The 22314-nt window shown below is 40.4% G+C and overlaps 1 protein-coding gene across 11 annotated transcripts in view, besides 2 other annotated features; it reads left to right on the plus strand.

The window, feature by feature from the left end:
* The window catches only part of CDC42SE2 (CDC42 small effector 2), a 184621-nt gene that overhangs the window by 82608 nt on the left and 79699 nt on the right, over window positions 1–22314 (plus strand). The window lies entirely within an intron of this gene.
* Window positions 19122–19930: an enhancer, noted in NCBI's record as "H3K27ac-H3K4me1 hESC enhancer chr5:130647474-130648282 (GRCh37/hg19 assembly coordinates)". NCBI's record gives its function as "activates a minimal SCP1, AML or CMV promoter by ChIP-STARR-seq in naive H9 embryonic stem cells {active_cell/tissue: H9 hESC(naive)}" and the evidence as "EXISTENCE:reporter gene assay evidence [ECO:0000049][PMID:30033119]".
* Window positions 19671–19892: a silencer, noted in NCBI's record as "fragment chr5:130648023-130648244 (GRCh37/hg19 assembly coordinates)". NCBI's record gives its function as "represses an EF-1alpha promoter that drives an FKBP-Casp9 reporter gene in an ReSE screen in phorbol 12-myristate 13-acetate-treated (for megakaryocytic differentiation) K562 erythroleukemia cells {active_cell/tissue: K562(+PMA)}" and the evidence as "EXISTENCE:reporter gene assay evidence [ECO:0000049][PMID:32094911]".

The following is a 22314-nucleotide window of genomic DNA, read 5'->3' on the forward strand; positions in this document are numbered from 1 at the left end:
AGGCTGAGGTTGGCAGATCTCAAGTGATAGTTCAAGACCAGTCTGAGAAATATGGCAAAACCCCATCTCTACCAAAAAAATAAAAATAATAATAAAATAAAAATCAGCCTGGCATGGTGGCATACACCTGTAGTCCCAGCTCCTTGGGAGCCTGAGGTGGGAGGATCGCTTGAGCACAGGAGATTGAGGCTGCAGTGAGCTGAGATTGCACCCACTCAGCCTGGGTGACAGTGCGAGACCCTGTCTCAAAAAAAAAAAAAAAAAAAAAAAAAAAACAGAAACAAACTATAATACAGCAAAAGAACATAGTTGTTCATTTGAATGTTGAATGAATGAACAGATAGAGATATTTTGATAATACTACTTGCACATTTGTCAGATTTTAATAATCTAAAAATGAATAATGCTCTGATCTGAATATTTGCGTCTCTCTTCCCCACCCCTCAAATTCATATGTTGAAATTCTAACCCGCAACGTGATGGTAATAGGAGGTGAGGCCTTTGAGAGATGATTAGGCCCTCATGAATGGGATTAGTGCTCTTGTAAAAGAGACCCCAGAGAGTTAGCTCTACCCTTCTACCATGTGAAGATACAGTGAGAAGGTACCGTCTAAGAGAAAGTGGGCCCTCAGCCGGGCACGGTGGCTCACGTCTGTAATCCCAGCACTTTGGGAGGCCAAGGCAGGCAGATCACCTGAGGTCAGGAGTTCAGGACTAGCCTGCCCAACATGGTGAAACCCTGTTTCTACTAAAAATACAAAAATTAGCTGGACGTGGTGGCGGGTGCCTGTAATCCCGGTTACCGGGGCGGCTGAGGCAGGAGAATCGCTTGAACCCGGGAGGCGGAGGTTGCAGTGAGTGGAGATCAGGCCACTGCACTCTAGCCTGGGTGACGAGAGCAAAACTCCGTCTCAAAAAAAAAAAAAAAAAAAGTGGGCCCTCACCAGACTCTGAATCCACCAGTGCCTTGATCTTGGACTTCCCAGCTTCCACAACTATGAGAAACAAATTTTCATTGTGTATAGGCTACCTAGTTTATGGTATTTTGTTATAGCAGCCTGAACAGGCTAAGACAAGTAAGAACTTACTTTTCTTATGTTCTTTATTTTTCTGTAAAGTATTACCTTCTCCCCTTCCCAATGAACAGTTTGTCAACAGTCATTTTACTTTTAGGCCCTGGTGTGCCAGGTCCTGACTGAAATACAGACTGATCGCTCTGCCATAGAGTGACGCAACTTACTGCGTGTCTTAACTCCTTATAAAGGCAACTGGGACAAATTCGATATGTATTGGCTGCTTTAAGATAAGCTAGTTGGCATTTCAGGACCCCCTGTATTTACTGGAAGTAATGTCACACTGAGCCACTCTTCTGGTGAAAATGTACAGCTGGTAGAAGAAATTGTGTGTTAATGATATTGTCAATGCAGGAGGGCCACTACATACAAGGATGCAGAGTCAAGTATACACTGTTTGAAAAGTACGCACAATATTGAGAAAGACCAGAAAACATTATCTTTAAGCGGATAGGCTGAATTAAATTGGGAATTCCTGGCTTCACAGAGTATATCCAATCTGATATACTCTGTGATCCAAATCTGGATCACACAAAAATATAATAATTTTATTTGACATAATATAGAAAATTAATACAAGATAAAGAGGACAAATTACTCATCAGTTTGGGAACTGTGACTTACTTTGCCTTGAAGGAAAGGTATGTTGTCCCTTTTCTGGGATCAAATAAAACCATTCAATTATTGAATAAATACTGCGCACTAGCTATTTGCCAGACACTCAGATACTAGGGATTTAGTTTCGAATGAAAGAGACAAAAGTTCTTGTGTTTATGGAGCCCTACATTCTAGTTGATGTAGACAAGCAACAAATGAGTGAAATATATAGAATGCCAGATAACTTAAAAAAGTACTATGAGGAAAAATAAAGCATGGGAGGGAGATGGTGACTACTAGGGTAGGGAACAGGAGATTGCAGTTATAAATAGGATGGCAAAGAAAGAGTTCAGTGAAAGGATAATAAAAAGCCAGTACATGGCCGGGCGTGGTGGCTCACGCCTGTAATTCCAGCCCTTTGGGAGGCTGAGGCGGGCAGATCACTTGAGGTCAGGAGTTCGAGACCAGCCTGGCCAACATGGCAGAACTCCGTCTCTACTAAAAATAGAAAAATTAGGCTGGGTGCAGTGGTTCACACCTGTAGTCCCAGCACTTTGGGAGGCCGAGGTGGGCGGGTCATGAGGTCAGGAGATCAAGACCATCCTGGCTAACATGGTGAAACCCTGTCTATACTAGAAATACAAAAAATTAGCCAGGCGTGATGGCATGCACCTGTAGTCCCAGCTACTCGGGAGGCTGAAGCAGGACAATCGCTTGAACCTGGGAGGCGGAGGTTGCAGTGAGCCGAGATCATGCCACTGCGCTCCATTCTGGGTGGCAGAGTGAGACTAAGTCTCAAAAAAAAAAAATAGGCATGGAGGTGGGCACCTGTAATCCTAGCTACTTGGGAGACTGAGGCATGAGAATCACTTGAACCCAGGAGGTGGAGGTTGCAGTAAGCTGAGTTGATGCCATTGCACTCCAGCCTGGGTGACAGATTGAGACTTTGAAAAAAAAAAAACCAAACCAAAACAAAAAACCAAAACAACAAAAAAAGATAGCTATTACAGCATCATCGTGATAAAGATAAGTATTGGCAGTGACCTTAATGTCTATCTGTAGAGGATTGGTTAAATATATTATGGTGCATCCATATAATGGAATATTGTACTGCAAATGAAAAACAAGTTCTACATATACAGAATGGTCTCCAAGACACATGTGAAGTGGTTAACAAAAGGTTCAGAATGTGTAGAGTATGCTACCATTTAAATGCGTCACATACATAAGTATATATAGTATTTTTATAAATGCATGGAATCTTACTGGAAAAACATAGAATAAACTAGTAATAATGTTTCTCTCTGGAGCGGGGAACAGGATGATTTGTGGACAGAAGAGTGAGGGTGAAACACTTTTTTTTTTTTTTTTGAGACAGAGTCTTGCTCTGTCACCCAGGCTGGAGTGCAGTGGCACGATCTCGGCTCACTGCAAGCTCCACCTCCCGGGTTCACGCCATTCTCCTGCCTCAGCCTCCCAAGTAGCTGGGACTACAGGCGCCCGCCACCGTGCCCGGCTAAGTTTTTGTATTTTGTTTAGTAGAGATGGTGTTTCACCGTGTTAGCCAGGGTGGTCTCGACCTCCTGACCTCATGATCTGCCTGCCTCAGCCTCCCAAAGTGCTGGGATTACAGGCGTGAGCCACCGCACCCGGCCAACACATTTCTTTTTATCCAGTTTTACTATGGGTATGTACTATCTGGTCAAAATATGTACAATATAAAATACGAACACGACTGTCCTGTAACACATGGGAAAACAGACACACTTTTATTAAACTTGGTGGCCTAGATAACTGTCTAGCCTAGATACTGAATAAGTGGGATATTTAATAGAAACGTGGATTCCGTTTTGATGAGCTGGAGACCATGTAGACAGTGACCACACTGAAGCAAGGCCAAAATCCTGTTTTGATTGGGTAATGGATTATAGTGAACATGATTATAACACTTAGATTTGTGTGACTTTTTTTGCTCTCCTCATCAAATGGAGGCTGTATTCATTTCCTGGGTTTGCCACAACAAGGTATCACAAACTAGGTGGCTTAAGACAACAGAAATGTGTTGTCTCACAGTTCTGAAGGTTAGAAGTCCAAAATCAGGGTGTCAACAGCGCTGTGTTCCCCATGAAACCTGGAGGGGAAACCTTTCTTGCTTTACCTTAGCTTCAGATGGTTTGCTGGCAGTCGTTGGCTTGCAGCTGCTTTACTCCAGTCTCTTGCCTTTGTCATCACATGGCCTTCTCCTTCTGTGTCTCTGTTTTCATACTGTTGGCTTCTTAAAAGGACAACAATCATATTGGATTAGGGGCCCACTCTACTCCAGTATGATCTCATTTTAACTAGTAACATCTGCAACGTAAGGTCACATTCAGAGGTACTGGGGGGGTTAGGATTTCAACATATCTTTTTGGGAGAGGAGTGGGCAAATTCAACCCATAACAGAGGCTTTACAGTTTGATTATGTTGCTTCTCTATAGTAGTCTTTCATATATGAAAATGTGTTTTGTAAAGTTGTATGGAAACATAATGTTTTGCAAGTTCTTTTTCTTTCTTTCTTTCTTTTTTTTATTGAAGATTATTATAAAAGATTTCCTTGTGGGGAGAAAAGACCACTCCACCTCTCTTAATAACTCCAACCTAAGATTGCAGCATATTTATTAAAACTAAAATTTTGATGAAAGTAGAATGTTTTCTCTAAGTTGTAAAATAAAAGTATGGAGATATAAATAGTAGTGAGTTAAAGATGACAGTAACTAATTTAGACATTTTTTGTGCTTTTTATAAAAGTCATAGGAAAAGGATGACTTCAGATTAAATACTTTATATTCTTTTTTTTTTTTTTTTGCATTTTTGTTCTTTCTCGTGCAAAAATGGCTTCTTTCCAGATCACTTTGACCTGAAGATACAATAAAATATGACAGCAGAGAGAATGAGGCTGTTATTTAGTTCCATTCTTCTCCATTGTTTTTCTTGTACCCATAACTGTTATAATTACATAAGGCGTTAAGAAACCTTTAACTCTTTCTCATCTTTCCCTCTTTCTCATGTATACATGAGAAAACAAATATTTGTTAGTGTACAAAGTCTTTTTAAAAGTTACTGCATCCTGGCCGGGTGCGGTGGCTCACCCCTGTAATCCCAGCACTTTGGGAGGCCGAGGCGGGTGGATCACGAGGTCAGGAGATCGAGACCATCCTGGCTAACATGATGAAACCTCGTCTCTACTAAAAATACAAAAAAACTAGCTGGGCGTGGTGGCGGGTGCCTGTAGTCCCAGCTACTTGGGAGGCTGAGGCAGGAGAATGGCGTGAACCCGGGAGGCGGAGCTTGCAGTGAGTCAAGATTGTGCCACTGCACTCCAGCCTGGGTGACAGAGCAAGACTCCATTTCAAAAATAAATAAATAAATAAGTAAATAAAAATTAAAAATTATAAAAATTATAAAAGTTACCACATCCTAAAAAAGCCTTTTTGATGTCATTTTACCCTTTGAGAAATAATCGATCGACAAATCAGCATCTTGGTTTCTTTTGGCTTTTCACACAGGGTCAAATAAAAACTAGGAGACTCTCCCTATTTCCAATCTTAATGACAGTTTTTCATTTTTTTCTTTAAAAAGTTAATACACGAAAACGTAATGTATTTAGCTATTTTTATGAGTAGTTTCACTGAGTTATTTGTAAAATAGGCAGTTAAATCTAATTTTTTAGGAAGTTATGCTTCCTGTTAGAGTGGGTTAGAGTAATGTGCTTTCATTCAGCTGCTGTCTAGTCATCTTTAAATTTTTTTTTTTTTTTGAGTTTTACTCTTGTTGCCCAGGCTGGAGTGCAATGGAAAAATCTCGGCTCAGCGCAACCTCTGCCTCCTGGGTTCAAGCGGTTCTCCTGCCTCAGCCTCCTGAGTAGTTGGGATTACAGGCAGGCACCACCATGCCTGGCTAATTTTTATTTTTTTTTTAAGTAGAGATGGGGTTTCTCCATGTTGGTGAGTCTGGTCTTGAACTCCCGAACTCAGGTGATCCGATCTCAGGTGATCCACCCGCCTTGGCCTCCCAATGTGCTCGGATTACAGGCATGAGCCACCGCGCCCGGCATCTTTAAAATATTTTATGAATTTAGGTACCATAGAATCTTAGAATTGATTTGAACTGTGGATATTATTTAGTATGACGTCACAAATATAGGAATTCTTTTAGGGTCCCTGATACTTAACCTCTAGTGACTGTGAATTCACCACTTTCTAGGCATCCCAGTATCTTTTTGGGGGCAGTTAGACTTGTAGATAGTTCTTTCTTTTTTTTAAACCAAAAATTGCCTTCCTGAAACTTCTGCATAGTGGCTTTGTTACCACCATCTTTGGTACCCCATAACAAGTTGGCTTCCTCTTTCCCATGCTATGCTAAGACCTACAAATCTTTGAAGGCTGTCATATCTTCCCCTTGTGCTTTTTGCTAAGCTAAATCTGACACCCAGAATTGAATGCCATTTTGCCACATTTCTGAATCTGAAATTCTGGGACTAAGTTTCTCCCATTATTTGGAGGTGCAGCCAGGATTAATAACCTCTGTAATATAAATGCCCTGAAAGGAAGGTACAAGGTATATTGGAAGAGGGCCTGAATAGACTTGGGGGATTGGGGAATGATTCCTGAAGGAAATGATAGCCATATCAAGTTCTGAAGAGTATGCCAGACAGAAAGAAGTGAACAGTAAGTGTGATGTCCTGTAGGCAACAGAAAGAAATTGAGAATGGTTGGATGGCACAGTCATGGGGTATCAAATGGAAGAGGTAGTAAATGAGGTTGAAGAGAAATGTGGGGACCAAATGGTAAAGGCCCTGAGAAGTCATACGAGGAGACTTTCCTGAGGATAATAGTCATTAAAGGGGGTTTTACGTCAGGAATAACATGATCAGACATTCATTTTAGAAGTATCATTCTAGCCAAAATGGGGAACAAATTGGAGGGACTAAGAGTGGTTACCAGGGGTCAGTTAGCAGCTATTATGGTATTCGTTGAGAGATGATGGTGGTGCCTAGAACTCTACTGGTGACTTAGTGTTGGGGAGAAACAGATTGGACAAATAGAACATGGCCGTTTGGCTGTGGGGGATGAGATGGAAAGGCAAAAGTTAAGGATAACATGCTTGTTTCTGGCTTCGTAAACTGGGTAGATGAGAGGGAATTTAATGAAAATAAATTGAATAGGATTGGGGTGGGTAATGGTAAGAAAGAAGCAGAGTTGAGTTAAGAAGCAGGGTTCAGTAAAGTTTGAAGCAGAGGTAGCACATCCTGTGGAGCTGCACTACATGCAGCTGGGTGTGAGGCTAAATTAAAAGACAACTAGGCTGGAGAGCTTTGGGCTGGAGACAGCTGTGGGCTGGAAATGTAGATTTGGCGATCAGCATTGATGCTAATCGAACTCAGGGGAGTGATTGAAATAACCTAGGGGAGCATTTGTAGAGTGAAAGATGAGGGCATAGGACAAAACCCTTAAGAACTATTAATGTAATGTTAGTTTTTGAGCCTTTGGTATTTTGACTGGATTGTCTGAGAACCAGCAAAAAGGAGGGAATCAGGGCTGTTCTGATATAGGTATTTAGTAGAAACCCACCTAAATTATTTGATTCGAAGAGTAAAGTTCTCAAATGGTCTATCCTACCCAGCCTGTCACAGTATCTGACATTTATGCTGTTAGTTTCTCTACTTTGGCTTAAGGTGTTGTCTCTCTTGGAGTTTCCTGTTAAAGTGTTGTTATCCTTAGAGAACTAGAATATTAATCCCATTGTTGGTGATCGTGGTAGTGTTTTTAGGGTCACTAGCTTTTATTCTGGAATTCAGTGAAAGGATGGATGGGAATTTGAGAAAAATAAGATTTGAAAAACATGCCATTACTGAGGAGTTTAGGACCACAGAACCTGGACTTGCAGCATTGAGGTTGCCAAGCACCTGGATAAGGGGAGTGAGAACAAGTGAGAGCAAGAGAGAGGTTGGAAAAGGGGGACAGTGAGTTGGATAAGAAAGAGAAAATGTCACTAAAAAGGGAATAAGAGAACAAAGAACTAAATAAAGGAAAAATCTTGACAGTATTTTAGTTATAAATTAGGGTGACCATATAATTTATCATCGAAACTGGAACATATCAAGATAGAGAATGGCCATTAATAATTATGTTGTAGGCCTGGCGCAGTGGCTCACGCCTGTAATCCCAGCACTTTGGGAGGCCGAGGCGGGCGGATCATGAGGTCAGGAGATTGAGACCATCCTGGCTTACACATTGAAACCTGTCTCTACTAAAAATACAAAAAATTAGCCAGGCGTGGTGGCGGGTGCCTGTAGTCCCAGCTCCTCGGGAGGCTGAGGCAGGAGAATGGCGTGAACCTGGGAGGTGGAGCTTGCTGTGAGCCGAGATCGCGCCACTGCACTCCAGCCTGGGTGACAGAGCGAGACTCCGTCTCAAAAAAAAAAAAAAAAAATTATGTTTAAAAATTGGCATAAATTGTGACTATCACAAGCAAAGAAGGATGAATGGTCATTCTAGTTATAATGTGCATATTGCATAATAAAATAGTTTCCGTTTTTTAGCTATGATATGTCAAGCATTGTAATAAGTAAACACTTTATACATCTTACTACATTCTTACAATAATTCTCTGAGGTGGCATTGTCTTCGTTTTATAGTTAGTGAAACCAAATCTCAGGGAGGTAACCTCCCAACAATTCTCTGTGGCAGTCAGAATTGGAAACTATATTTATTTGACCATACACAAAATACACATAAACTCTTAAATACTGTATTGTACACTACCGTTGCTGTGGGTGTGTATATGTGTTTTAAAATGTCCTCTGAGACTGGCAAGGGTAGGGGGAAGAAGGAGAGAGGAGAGATGGGGTTAAAGGACACAAAATTACAACTAGATAGGAGGAATACGTTCTAGTGTTCTATGGCCCGGGAGGATGACTATAGTTAATAACATATAGCTTCAAATAGCTAAAAGGAGAATTATTGAATGTTCCCAACACAAAGAAATGATAAATGTTTGAAATGGTGGGTATGCCAATTACCCCGACCACTATACATTTTATTTACTGAAACATCACTATGTACCCCATAAATATGTAGAATTATATTTCAATTAAAAAATTTTAAAAGGGCTGGGTGCGGTGGCTCATGTCTGTAATCCCAGCACTTTGGGAGGCCGAGGCAGGCAGATCACGAGGTCAGGAGTTCGAGACCAGCCTGATCAACATGGTGATACCCTGTCTCTACTAAAAATATAAAAATTAGCCGGGCGTGGTGGCGCGTGCCTGTAATTCCAGCTACTCGGGAGGCTGAGGCAGGAGAATCACTTGAACCTGGGAGATGGAGGTTGCAGTGAGCCAAGATCACGCCACTGCACTCTAGTTTGGGAGACAGAGCAAGACTCCGTCTCAAAAAAAAAAAAAAATTAAAAAAGTTAAAAGTCCTCTGACTAAAAAACAACTCTGACTTGCTAATTGCTAGCATAATGTATCATCATAATATTAAGCCCCCTTCCCTTTCTGATACCCCTATTTTTTGAGGCATGGAGAGAGGGGAATAACCTGTCTGAAATCAGTACACTTAGTAAGTGGCAGAGCCAGATTTCAAACCCTGAAGACAGTTTGATAGCAGCACCTCCTTTTTCTTTTTTTATCTTATTTTATTTTATTTTGTTTTTGAGACAGGGTCTTACTCTCTTGCCCAGACTGCAATGCGGTGACGAGATCTTGGCTCACTGCAACCTCTGCCTCCCCGGCTCAAGCGATTCTCCTGCCTCAGCCTCCTAAGTAGCTGGGATTACAGGCACGCGCCACTACTGCCCGGCTAAGTTTTGGTTGCTTTTTTTTTTTGAGACGGAGTTTTGCTTTTGTTGCCCAGGCTGGAGTGCAATGGTGCGATGTCAGCTCACTGCAACCTCCGCCTCCCGGGTTCAAGAGATTCTCCTGCCTCAGCCTCCCCAGTAGCTGGGATTATAGGCATGCACCACCACGCCTGGCTATTTTTGTATTTTTAGTAGAAACAGGGTTTCTCCATGTTGGTGAGGCTGGTCACGAACTCCCGACCTCGGGTGATCCGCCTGCCTCGGCCTCCCAAAGTGCCAGGATTACAGGTGTGAGCCACCGTGCCCAGCCTAATTTTTGTGTTTTTAATAGAGACGGGGGTTTCACCATGTTGGCCGGGCTGGTCTTGAACTCCTGACCTCAAGTGATCCACCCACCTCAGCCTCCCGAAGTTCTGGGATTACAGGCCTGAGCCACCGTGTCCAACCAGCACCTCTTTTCTTAACTGCTATTCTATACTGCCTCCTTCAGCCATATTCTTTGTCTGGACATGTTTTCATTTCTCTTAGGAGTGGGTTTGTTGGGGAGCATGGTAAATGTATATATACCTTTATAAGAAAGTTGCGAAATTATTTACAAAGTGGTTGTATCATTATGACTTACCAGGAGTAGTCCGTTTTTGTTGCCTCATGACTCTTTTTTTTTTTTTTAAGACAAGCAGATTCTGAAATTCCAGCAATTAGAAATAGCTTCTTTCCCCTTTAACGTTTTTGCCTCATTTACACCTACCCTCACCTGTACCCACTTCTGTAACTCAACTACATCTTACACTTTTATGGTCTTGGAATGTTAACAGCACCAGCAAATAATAGCAAGAATCAAACAAAAATGTGTTGAGTCTTAGTGTCGCCACTGGCTACATTATTGCCCAGATGACTTTTCACTTAAACTGTTTAAGTGAATGATTATATGCATTTCTTTACAGTGTATTCACAGAGGAAATAAATGACAGTGATTTATTGCAGTGCTAATAGACATTGTACTAATTAAGTGATTTTAAGTCAAGTTTCTTTACCTTTCTGGGCCTGTAAAGTGAGGAAATTGAACTAGATTTCTTACAGGTCTATATTTGTCCCTGACAGATCTGTATTTCTTTGAGAAGAAGAAAGGAATTGGTATTTGACATTAAATGATCATGCATAAAAATGGGACATATATTTAAGTACTTATTTTTCATTCAATGTCAGAGTGATTTAATAGGGTCAAGGCCTGATAATTTAAGCTACTGTTTCTTGAGGAAAAGTGGAAAGTACTCAAAATGTTACTGGAAGACCTATGCCTTTGGCTTCTTGTAGTTTATCAGCTGAAATTTAAGACTTTTGAATTGTAGTGGATTGGGCACTTAAAAATCGATTTTATTTTTAACTTATAAGAAGATCTGAGGTTTGGAAGGAATCTTAAATAAAGTTTGTCTAAATCATCTATCAGTAGGACTTTTGAATCATGATCCTAACATCCTGACCTCTGATAACAGATACCCTAAGGCAGGACATTCCACTTTTAGGCAGCAGTGACAACAGAAAGATGTACTAATAGGTAGAACATACAGCCTGTACTCATTCATTGGAGTTGTGCCATTTGGGATGATGCAAAACTAGCATAATTTTTCTTTGTGACTGCCCTAAAAGTATTTAGACACAGCATGGATAACTTAATTTCTTTAAAAATGCATTCTTGTCTTCATAGCAATATGATGGAACTGAGACTGATTATCTTGGAGACTAGAAATCTCTGCATAGAGATGGAGTGTACACTTTGGCTTCTGTCTAAAATAATTTTCTTTTTTTTTTTTGGGACAGTCTTGCTCTCTTGCCCAGGCTGGAGTGCAGTGGCATGATCACAGCTCACTGCAACCTTGACCTTCCCGGCCCAAGGAATCCTTGCACCTCAGCCTTCCAAGTAGCTGGGACCACAGGCATGCACCACCATGCCAGGCTAATTTATTATTATTTTTAATTTTTAAATTTTGTATTTTTTGTAGAAATGGGGTCTCTCTACATTGCCCAGGCTTGTCTTGAACTCCTGGGCCCAAACAATCCTCCCGCCCTGGCCTCCCAAAGTGCTGGCATTACAGGCATGAGACACTGTACCCGGCCTAAAATAAAACTTAATGGTTAAATTTAGCTAAGGAAATAATTCATTTTTCTCCGTCTCTTCAGTATAAATGACAGGTAGATAGGGATAGAGGTGGCATTTAATATGATACAAAAAGCACCAAGGCATACCAGTGCTTAGCAGTTAGATTGGATCTGTTTTCATGACTTTTTCATGAATTCTAAGCAGAATATGAAGTCCATTTTAGTAACGGTATCCACATGACACTCATTGAATGATTATAGTAAAATGTCTTTTTGGTCAACAATGAAATGACAGTATTTTAAATCTAATTTCTACCAAATTTAATGGAGGACTGAGGTACTCTGGACTATAATTGAATTAACAATGTTGAAATCCACCACATTTCCTTTTTCCCATGCCAAATTATATTATACTAGGTTAGTTAGAGTACTGTTTTTGGCATATGCTTTCTTTGTGATTAGTAATCGTGTTTCTGATCCTTAGCATTGAGATATACTTTTGGAAGAGCTATTTTCTGAAGAGAAAGATTGTGGCCATAATTTTCAAATTTAATGCATTAAAAGGATCTTGCTTTTCATTTTAACCAGGCTTGCTACCAGTTATTAATATTTAAACATAAAATTAAATGCATATATTTCAAGTGTTCAGCTTGATAAATTTTGGCATGTGTATATTCCTGTGAAATCATAACCACACTGAAGATACTGGAAATATACCCCAAAAGTTTCTTCTCAGCCCTTTGTAGGCCCTCCTTTTGCCCACCCACCCACATTCCTAGGAGATTAGCTGATCTGCTTTTCCACCACTAGAGATTAGTTTCTATTTTCTAGAATTTTGTATAAATTATACAGTATATACTCTTTGTGTGGCTTCTTTGACTCAGCATAATTATTTTGAGATTAATCCATGTTGATGGGTGTATAAAATCATTCTTTTTTATTGAGAGTAGTGTATACCACAGGTTTATCCATTCTCCAGTTGATGAATTGTTTCCAGTTTTTGTCTCTATGTTAAAAGAAAAACTTTAGACAATGTAAATGTGGCAGAATTTATTTGAGCAAAGAATGGTACATGAATTGGGCAGCACTCAGAACCAGAAAAGGTTCAGAGAGCTCTGCTGTGCAACCTGGGCAGTAAGTATAGACAGAAAAGAGAAGCAAGTACGTATATAGATTGATTAGTTAACAGTTCCTCCTTTGCCTTATTTGAACATGGTCTGATCAGTTGGCAGCTTGTGATTGGCTGAAGCTTGGCTGCTTGTGATTTGCTGAGATTCATCTGTTTATTGTCTTCTTTTGAGAAATGTCTGTTGGGTCCTTTGCCCGTTTTTTGATTAAGTTGTTTTCTTGCTATTCAGTTTGAGTTCCTTATATATTTTGGATATTAGCCCTTTATCAGATAAATGGTTTTTAAATATTTTCTCTCAATCTGTGGATTGTCTCTTCAATCCATTAATTGTTTCCTTTGCTGTGCAGAAGCTTTTTAGTTGATGCAGTCCTGTTTTATTTTTGCCTTTGTTGCCTGTATATTTGGGGTTATATCTAAAAAAACTAAAAATTGCTCAGACCAATGTCATGTAACTATTTTCCTATGTTTTCTTCTAGTAGTTTGACAGTTTCAGGTCTTACATTTAAGTTTTTAATCCATTCTGAGTTGATTTTTGTGTATGGTGTGAGATAATGGTCCACTTTTATTCTTTTCCTTGTGGATATCCAGTTTTCCTAGCACCATTTACAGTAGTTTCACCTTATCTGTGGTTTTGCATTCTGCAGTTTGAGTTAATCTTGGTCAACCATGATCTGAAAATAGTGTATGGAAAATTCCACAAAATAAACAATTCTTACGTTTTAAATTATGTGTCATCCTGAGTAGTGTGATGAAATCTTGTGCCGTCCTGCCTTGTCCTGCCTGGGAAATCATCCTTTGTCCAGCATATCCATGCTGTATATGCTACCTGCTCATTAGTCACTTAATAGCTGTCTAGTTTATCAGATTGAATAAACATAGTATATCTAGGGTTCCTATCTGCAGGGGGTCTTGGAACGTATCCCTCACAGATAAGGGGAGACTGCTGTATTGAAGAGACTGTCCTTTCTCTGTTTTGTGTTCTTGGTAACTTTGTTGAAAGCCAGTTGACCATAATTTGTAGGTTTATTTCTGGGCTTTCTATCCTGTTCTGTTGGTCAGTATTTCCGTTTTTATGCCAGTATGTTCTGTATTGATTACTATAGTTTGTAGTAGATTTTGAAGCTAGGTAGTGTGATGCCTCCAGCTTTGTTTTGCTCAAGATTGCTTTGTCTGTTTGACGTCTTTTGTGGTTTTATATGAATTTTAGGATTATTTTTTCTATTTCTGTGAAAAACAGCATTGGAATTTTGATAGAGATTGCATTGAATCTGTAAATTGCTTTGGGTATTGTAGGCATTTTAACAACATTAAAGATTCCAATCCCTGAACATGGGATACCATTATATTTATTTGTATTGTCTACAGTTTCTTTCATCAGTGTTTTATAGTTTTCAGCCTACAGATCTTTCACCTCCTTGGTTAAATTTAATCCTAAATATATATACTTTTTGGAGGCTATTGTGAATAGAATTGATTTCTTAATTTTTTTTCCAGATTATTAGTTGTTAGTGTAAAGAAATGCTACTGATTTTTGTCTGTTGATTTTGTACCCTGCAACTTTACTTCGTTTATCAGTTCTAACAGTTTTTTGGTGGAGGCTTTAGGGTTTTCTACACATAAGATCATGTCATCAGCAAACAGATACAATTTCTCTTCTTCCTTTTTTTTTAATTTTTTTATTATTATTATACTTTAAGTTTTAGGGTACATGTGCACATTGTGCAGGTTAGTTACATATGTATACATGTGCCATGCTGGTATGCTGCACCCACTAACTCGTCATCTAGCATTAGGTATATCTTCCAGTGCTATCCCTCCCCCCTCCCCCCACCCGACAACAGTCCCCAGAGTGTGATGTTCCCCTTCCTGTGTCCATGTGATCTCATTGTTCAGTTCCCACCTATGAGTGAGAATATGCGGTGTTTGGTTTTTTGTTCTTGCGATAGTTTACTGAGAATGATGGTTTCCAATTTCATCCATGTCCCTACAAAGGACATGAACTCATCATTTTTTATGGCTGCATAGTATTCCGTGGTGTATATGTGCCACATTTTCTTAATCCAGTCTATCATTGTTGGACATTTGGCTTGGTTCCAAGTCTTTGCTATTGTGAATAATGCCGCAGTAAACATACGTGTGCATGTGTCTTTATAGCAGCATGATTTATAATCCTTTGGGTATATACCCAGTAATGGGACGGCTGGGTCAAATGGTATTTCTAGTTCTAGATCCCTGAGGAATTGCCACACTGACTTCCACAATGGTTGAACTAGTTTACAGTCCCACCAACAGTGTAAAAGTGTTCCTATTTCTCCACATCCTCTCCAGCACCTGTTGTTTCCTGACTTTTTAATGATTACCATTCTAACTGGTGTGAGATGGTATGTCATTGTGGTTTTGATTTGCATTTCTCTGATGGCCAGTGATGATGAGCATTTTTTCATGTGTCTTTTGGCTGCATGAATGTCTTCTTTTGAAAAGTGTCTGCTCATATCCTTCGCCCACTTTTTGATGGGGTTGTTTGTTTTTTGCTTGTAAATTTGTTTGAGTTCCCTGTAGATTCTGGATATTAGCCCTTTGTCAGATGAGTAGGTTGCGAAAATTTTCTCCCATTGTGTAGGTTGCCTGTTCACTCTGATGGTAGTTTCTTTTGCTGTGCAGAAGCTCTTTAGTTTAATTAGAGGTCAAACGTTTAAGTCTTTAATCCATCTTGAATTGATTTTTGTATAAGGTGTAAGGAAGGGATCCAGTTTCAGCTTTCTACATAAGGCTAGCCAGTTTTCCCAGCACCATTTATTAAATAGGGAATCCTTTCCCCATTGCTTGTTTTTCTCAGGTTTGTCAAAGATCAGATAGTTGTAGATATGCGGCGTTATTTCTGAGGGCTCTGTTGTGTTCCATTGATCTATATCTCTGTTTTGGTACCAGTACCATGCTGTTTTGGTTACTGTAGCCTTGTAGTATAGTTTGAAGTCAGGTAGTGTGATGCCTCCAGCTTTGTTCTTTTGGCTTAGGATTGACTTGGTGATGCAGGCTCTTTTTTGGTTCCATATGAACTTGAAAGTAGTTTTTTCCAATTCTGTGAAGAAAGGCATTGGTAGCTTGATGGGGATGGCATTGAATCTGTAAATTACCTTGGGCAGTATGGCCATTTTCACGATATTGATTCTTCCTACCCATGAGCATGGAGTGTTCTTCCATTTGTTTGTATCCTCTTTTATTTCCTTGAGCAGTGGTTTGTAGTTCTCCTTGAAGAGGTCCTTCACATCCCTTGTAAGTTGGATTCCTAGGTATTTTATTCTCTTTGAAGCAATTGTGAATGGGAGTTCACTCATGATTTGGCTCTCTGTTTGTCTGTTGTTGGTGTATAAGAATGCTTGTGATTTTTGTACATTGATTTTGTATCCTGAGACTTTGTTGAAGTTGCTTATCAGCTTAGGGAGATTTTGGGCTGAGATGATGGGGTTTTCTAGCTATACAATCATGTCATCTGCAAACAGGGACAATTTGACTTCCTCTTTTCCTAATTGAATACCCTTTATTTCCTTCTCCTGCCTAATTGCCCTGGCCAGAACTTCCAACACTATGTTGAATAGGAGTGGTGAGAGAGGGCATCCCTGTCTTGTGCCAGTTTTCAAAGGGAATGCTTCCAGTTTTTGCCCATTCAGTATGATATTGGCTGTGGGTTTGTCATAGATAGCTCTTATTCTTTTGAAATACATCCCATCAATACCTAATTTATTGAGAGTTTTTAGCAAGAAGTGTTATTGAATTTTGTCAAAGGCCTTTTCTGCATCTATTGAGATAATCATGTGGTTTTTGTCTTTGGCTCTCTTTATATGCTGGATTACATTTATTGATTTGCGTATATTGAACCAGCCTTGCATCCCAGGGATGAAGCCCACTTGATCATGGTGGATAAGCTTTTTGATGTGCTGCTGGATTCGTTTTGCCAGTATTTTATTGAGGATTTTTGCATCAATATTCATCAAGGATATTGGTCTAAAATTCTCTTTTTTGGTTGTGTCTCTGCGCGGCGTTGGTATCAGAATGATGCTGGCCTCATAAAATGAGTTAGGGAGGATTCCCTCTTTTTCTATTGATTGGAATAGTTTCAGAAGGAATGGTACCAGTTCCTCCTTGTACCTCTGGTAGAATTCGGCTGTGAATCCATCTGGTCCTGGACTCTTTTTGTTTGGTAAGCTATTGATTATTGCCACAATTTCAGCTCCTGTTATTGGTCTATTCAGAGATTCAACTTCTTCCTGGTTTAGTCTTGGGAGAGTGTATGTGTCCAGGAATTTATCCATTTCTTCTAGATTTTCTAGTTTATTTGCGTAGAGGTGTTTGTAGTATTCTCTGATGGTAGTTTGTATTTCTGTGGGATCGGTGGTGATATCCCCATTATCATTTTTTATTGGGTCTATTTGATTCTTCTCTCTTTTTTTCTTTATTAGTCTTGCTAGCGGTCTATCAATTTTGTTGATCCTTTCAAAAAACCAGCTCCTGGATTCATTAATTTTTTGAAGGGTTTTTTGTGTCTCTATTTCCTTCAGTTCTGCTCTGATCTTAGTTATTTCTTGCCTTCTTCTAGCTTTTGAATGTGTTTGCTCTTGCTTGTCTAGTTCTTTTAATTGTGATGTTAGGGTGTCAATTTTGGATCTTTCCTGCTTTCTGTTGTGGGCATTTAGTGCTATAAATTTCCTTCTACACACTGCTTTGAATGTGTCCCAGAGATTCTGGTATGTTGTGTCTTTGTTCTCGTTGGTTTCAAAGAACATCTTTATTTCTGCCTTCATTTTGTTATGTACCCAGTAGTCATTCAGGAGCAGGTTGTTCAGTTTCCATGTAGTTGAGCGGTTTTGAGTGAGATTCTTAATCCTGAGTTCTAGTTTGATTGCACTGTGGTCTGAGAGATAGTTTGTTATAATTTCTGTTCTTTTACATTTGCTGAGGAGAGCTTTACTTCCTAGTATGTGGTCCATTTTGGAATAGGTGTGGTGTGGTGCTGAAAAAAATGTATATTCTGTTGATTTGGGGTGGAGAGTTCTGTAGATGTCTATTAGGTCTGCTTGGTGCAGAGCTGAGTTCAATTCCTGGATATCCTTGTTGACTTTCTGTCTCATTGATCTGTCTAATGTTGACAGTGGGGTGTTAAAATCTCCCATTATTAATGTGTGGGAGTCTAAGTCTCTTTGTAGGTCACTCAGGACTTGCTTTATGAATCTGGGTGCTCCTGTATTGGGTGCATATATATTTAGGATAGTTAGCTCTTCTTGTTGAATTGATCCCTTTACCATTATGTAATGGCCTTGTCTCTTTTGATTTTTGATGGTTTAAAGTCTGTTTTATCAGAGACTAGGATTGCAACCCCTGCCTTTTTTTGTTTTCCATTTGTTTGGTAGAGCTTCCTCCATCCTTTTATTTTGAGCGTATGTGTGTCTCTGCACGTGAGATGGGTTTCCTGAATACAGCACACTGATGGGTCTTGACTCTTTATCCAATTTGCCAGTCTGTCTTTTAATTGGAGCATTTAGTCCATTTACATTTAAAGTTAATATTGTTATGTGTGAATTTGATCCTGTCATTATGATGTTAGCTGGTTATTTTGCTCGTTAGTTGATGCAGTTTCTTCCTAGTCTGGATGGTCTTTACATTTTGGCATGATTTTGCAGCGGCTGGTACCAGTTTTTCCTTTCCATGTTTAGTGCTTCCTTCAGGAGCTCTTTTAGGGCAGGCCTGGTGGTGACAAAAATCTCTCAGCATTTGCTTGTCTGTAAAGGATTTTATTTCTCCTTCACTTATGAAGCTTAGTTTGGCTGGATATGCAATTCTGGGTTGAAAATTCTTTTCTTTAAGAATGTTGAATATTGGCCCACACTCTCTTCTGGCTTGTAGGGTTTCTGCCGAGAGATCCGCTGTTAGTCTGATGGGCTTCCCTTTGTGGGTAACCCGACTTTTCTCTCTGGCTGCCCTTAATATTTTTTCCTTGATTTCAACTTTGGTGAATCTGACAATTATGTGTCTTGGAGTTGCTCTTCTCAAGGAGTATCTTTGTGGCGTTCTCTGTATTTCCTGAATCTGAACGTTGGCCTGCCTTGCTAGATTGGGGAAGTTCTCCTGGATAATATCCTGCAGAGTGTTTTCCAACTTGGTTCCATTCTCCCCATCACTTTCAGGTATACCAATCAGACGTAGATTTGGTCTTTTCACATAGTCCCATATTTCTTGAAGACTTTGCTCGTTTCTTTTTATTCTTTTTTCTCTGAACTTCCCTTCTCACTTCATTTCATTCATCTCATCTTCCATCGCTGATACCCTTTCTTCCAGTTGATCACATCGGCTCCTGAGGCTTCTGCATTCTTCCCGTAGTTCTTGAGCTTTGGTTTTCAGCTCCATCAGCTCCTTTAAGCACTTCTCTGTATTGGTTATTCTAGTTATACATTCTTCTAAATTTTTTTTCAAAGTTTTCAACTTCTTTGCCTTTGGTTTGAATGTCCTCCAGTAGCTCAGAGTAATTTGATCGTCTGAAGCCTTCTTCACTCAGCTCGTCAAAGTCATTCCCTGTCCAGCTTTGTTCTGTTGCTGGTGAGGAACTGCATTCCTTTGGAGGAGGAGAGGCGCTCTGCTTTTTAGAGTTTCCAGTTTTTCCGTTCTGTTTTTTCCCCATCTTTGTGGTTTTATCTACTTTTGGTCTTTGATGATGGTGATGTACAGATGGGTTTTTGGTGTGGATGTCCTTTTTGTTTGTTAGTTTTCCTTCTAACAGACAGGACCCTCAGCTGCCGGTCTGTTGGAGTACCTTGCTGTGTGAGGTGTCAGTGTGCCCCTGCTGGGGGGTGCCTCCCAGTTAGGCTTCTCGGGGGTTAGGGGTCAGGGACCCACTTGAGGAGGCAGTCTGCCCGTTCTCAGGTCTCCAGCTGCGTGCTGGGAGTGCCAGTGCTCTCTTCAAAGCTGTCAGACAGGGACATTTAAGTCTGCAGAGGTTACTGCTTTTTGTTTGTCTGTGCCCTGCCCCAAGAGGTGGAGCCTACAGAGGCAGGCAGGCCTCCTTGAGCTGTGGTGGGCTCCACCCAGTTTGAGCTTCCAGGCTGCTTTGTTTACCTAAGCAAGCCTGGGCAATGGTGGGTGCCCCTCCCCCAGCCTGGCTGCTGCCTTGCAGTTTGATCTCAGTCTGCTGTGCTAGCAATCAGCGATACTCCGTGGGCGTAGGACCCTCCGAGCCAGGCGCGGGATATAATCTCGTGGTGCGCTGTTTTTTAAGCCCCTCGGAAAAGCACAGTATTTGGGTGGGAGTGACCCGATTTTCCAGGTGCCGTCCGTCACCCCTTTCTTTGACTAGGAAAGGGAACTCCCTGACCCCTTGCACTTCCCGAGTGAGGCAATGCCTCGCCCTACTTTGGCTTGCAAACGGTGTGCGCACCCACTGACCTGCGCCCACGATCTGGCTCTCCCTAGTGAGATGAACCCAGTACCTCAGATGGAAATGCAGAAATCACCCGTCTTCTGTGTCGCTCACGCTGGGATCTGTAGACGGGAGCTGTTCCTATTCGGCCATCTTGGCTCCTCCTCCCTTTTCTTTTTCTTTTCTTTTCTTTTTTTTTTTTAGACGGAGTCTTGCTCTGTCACCCAGGCTGTAGTGCAGTGGCGTGATCTTGGCTCACTGAAAGCTCTGCCTCCCGGGTTCACACCATTCTGCTGCCTCAGCCTCCCTTGTAGCTGGGACTACAGGTGCCTGCCACGACGCCCGGCTGATTTTTTGTATTTTTAGTGGAGGCGGGGTTTTGCCATGTTAGCCAGGATGGTCTCCATCTCCTGACCTCGTGATCTGCCTGCCTCGGCCTCCCAAAGTGCTGGGATTACAGGCATGAGCCACCGCGCCTGGCCCCTCTCTTCTTCCTTTTCTGTTTGGATGCCTTTTATTTCTGAGGCTTATCTTTCATTCTGTTAACAGTGTCTTGCAAATAGCAGAAATTAGTATTTGAATGAAATTATTACTTTGTCTTTTTTAAGTGGATTGTGCTTTTGTGTTTTAGTTTACTAATCTTTGCCCAAGATAAGGCCACAAAGATTTTATGGAAGTTTTATGGTTTTACCTTTAGGTCTGTGATTGATTTTGAGTTAATTTTGGCATGCGGTATGAATATTCAGTTGTTCCAGCTTCATTTGTTGAGAAAGCTATCCTTTCTCTGCTGGATTGCCTTTGTACCCTTATGGAAAATAAGTTGACTACATGTGTGTAGTTGTATTTCTGGACTCTCAGTTTTGTTTTATTGACCTGTTAAGTCTCTCTGCCTACTAGTACAGTGTTTTTGTAGCTTTATAATAAACCTTGAATTCTGGTTGTATAAGGCTTCCAAAATTTTTGCCCTTTTTAAAAGCCGTTTTGATTGATCTAGCTCTTTGCCATTTCCATATGATTTTATTTAATTAATTTATTTTATTTATTTTGAGGCAGAGTCTCACTCTGTCACCCTGGCCGTAGTGCAGTGGCATGATCTTGGCTCACTGCAACCTCTGTCTCCTGGGTTCAAGCGATCCTCCTGCCTCGGCCTTCCGAGTAGCTGGGATTACAGGTGTGCACCACCATGCCCGACTAAACTGTAGGATTTTAGAATAAACATGCCAGTTTATTCTACAAAAAGGTCAGCTGGGATTCTTATTAGAATTGTGTTGACTATATTGATCAAATTGGGGAGAATTGACATGTTAACATCATTGACTTCATTGATCTATGAACATAATATTATTCTCTATTTGTTTTTGCACATAATTTGATAATTTCTTCATAATTCATACTTTTACACTACAAATGAAATTATTTTTTAAATGATTGTCCTTTTTTTTTTTTTTTGGAGACAGGATCTGGCTCTGTTGCCGGGGTTGGAGTTCAGTGGCACAATCATAGCTCACTGTAACCTCGAACTCTTGGGCTCAAGTAATCCTCCCACCACAGCCTCCTGAGTAGCTAGGACTACAGGCATGCTCCACCATGCCTGGTTAACTTAAAACATTTTTTTTGTTGTTGTTGAGACAGGGTCTCCCTGTGTTTCCCAGGCTGGTCTTAAAATCCTGGCCTCAAGCAATCATCCCACCCTGGCCTCCCAGAGTGCTGGGATTATACATATGAGCCACCGTGCCTGGCTTCTGATTATTCTTTGTACAAGTGTTCTATAGAAATAGAATTGATTTTTGAGTATTAATCTTGGTTTTTGAGTATTGATCCTGCAACCTTCCTAGACTTATTTATTCTATTAATAGTAGTCTTGGTTTTCCTAATTTCGTTATCAGAGTTAGCATAGCCTCTTAGTTCACTGTCAGTTTAGAGTTGAAGAAATGTGTAAGTTTATAAAATTAATATCAATGTCTTGCCAGGAATGAGATTAAGCAACCCCAATGGTTTTCATTTTTCCTTTAATGAAATTCATTTTTCCTTTAATGAAGTACCAGTATTCTTCATAATATGGAACCTTGACACTTCAAGCTACCATTATTTAAGGTGTTAAATTTATAGGCAATTTCAGCAAAGTAATTGATTATGAAGGATGAATTGCTGTTTGTTTTTATGACTGGAATTCT

Source organism: Homo sapiens, chromosome 5, assembly GCF_000001405.40.
Source record: "Homo sapiens chromosome 5, GRCh38.p14 Primary Assembly".
In the NCBI taxonomy this organism is placed as follows: domain Eukaryota; kingdom Metazoa; phylum Chordata; class Mammalia; order Primates; family Hominidae; genus Homo; species Homo sapiens.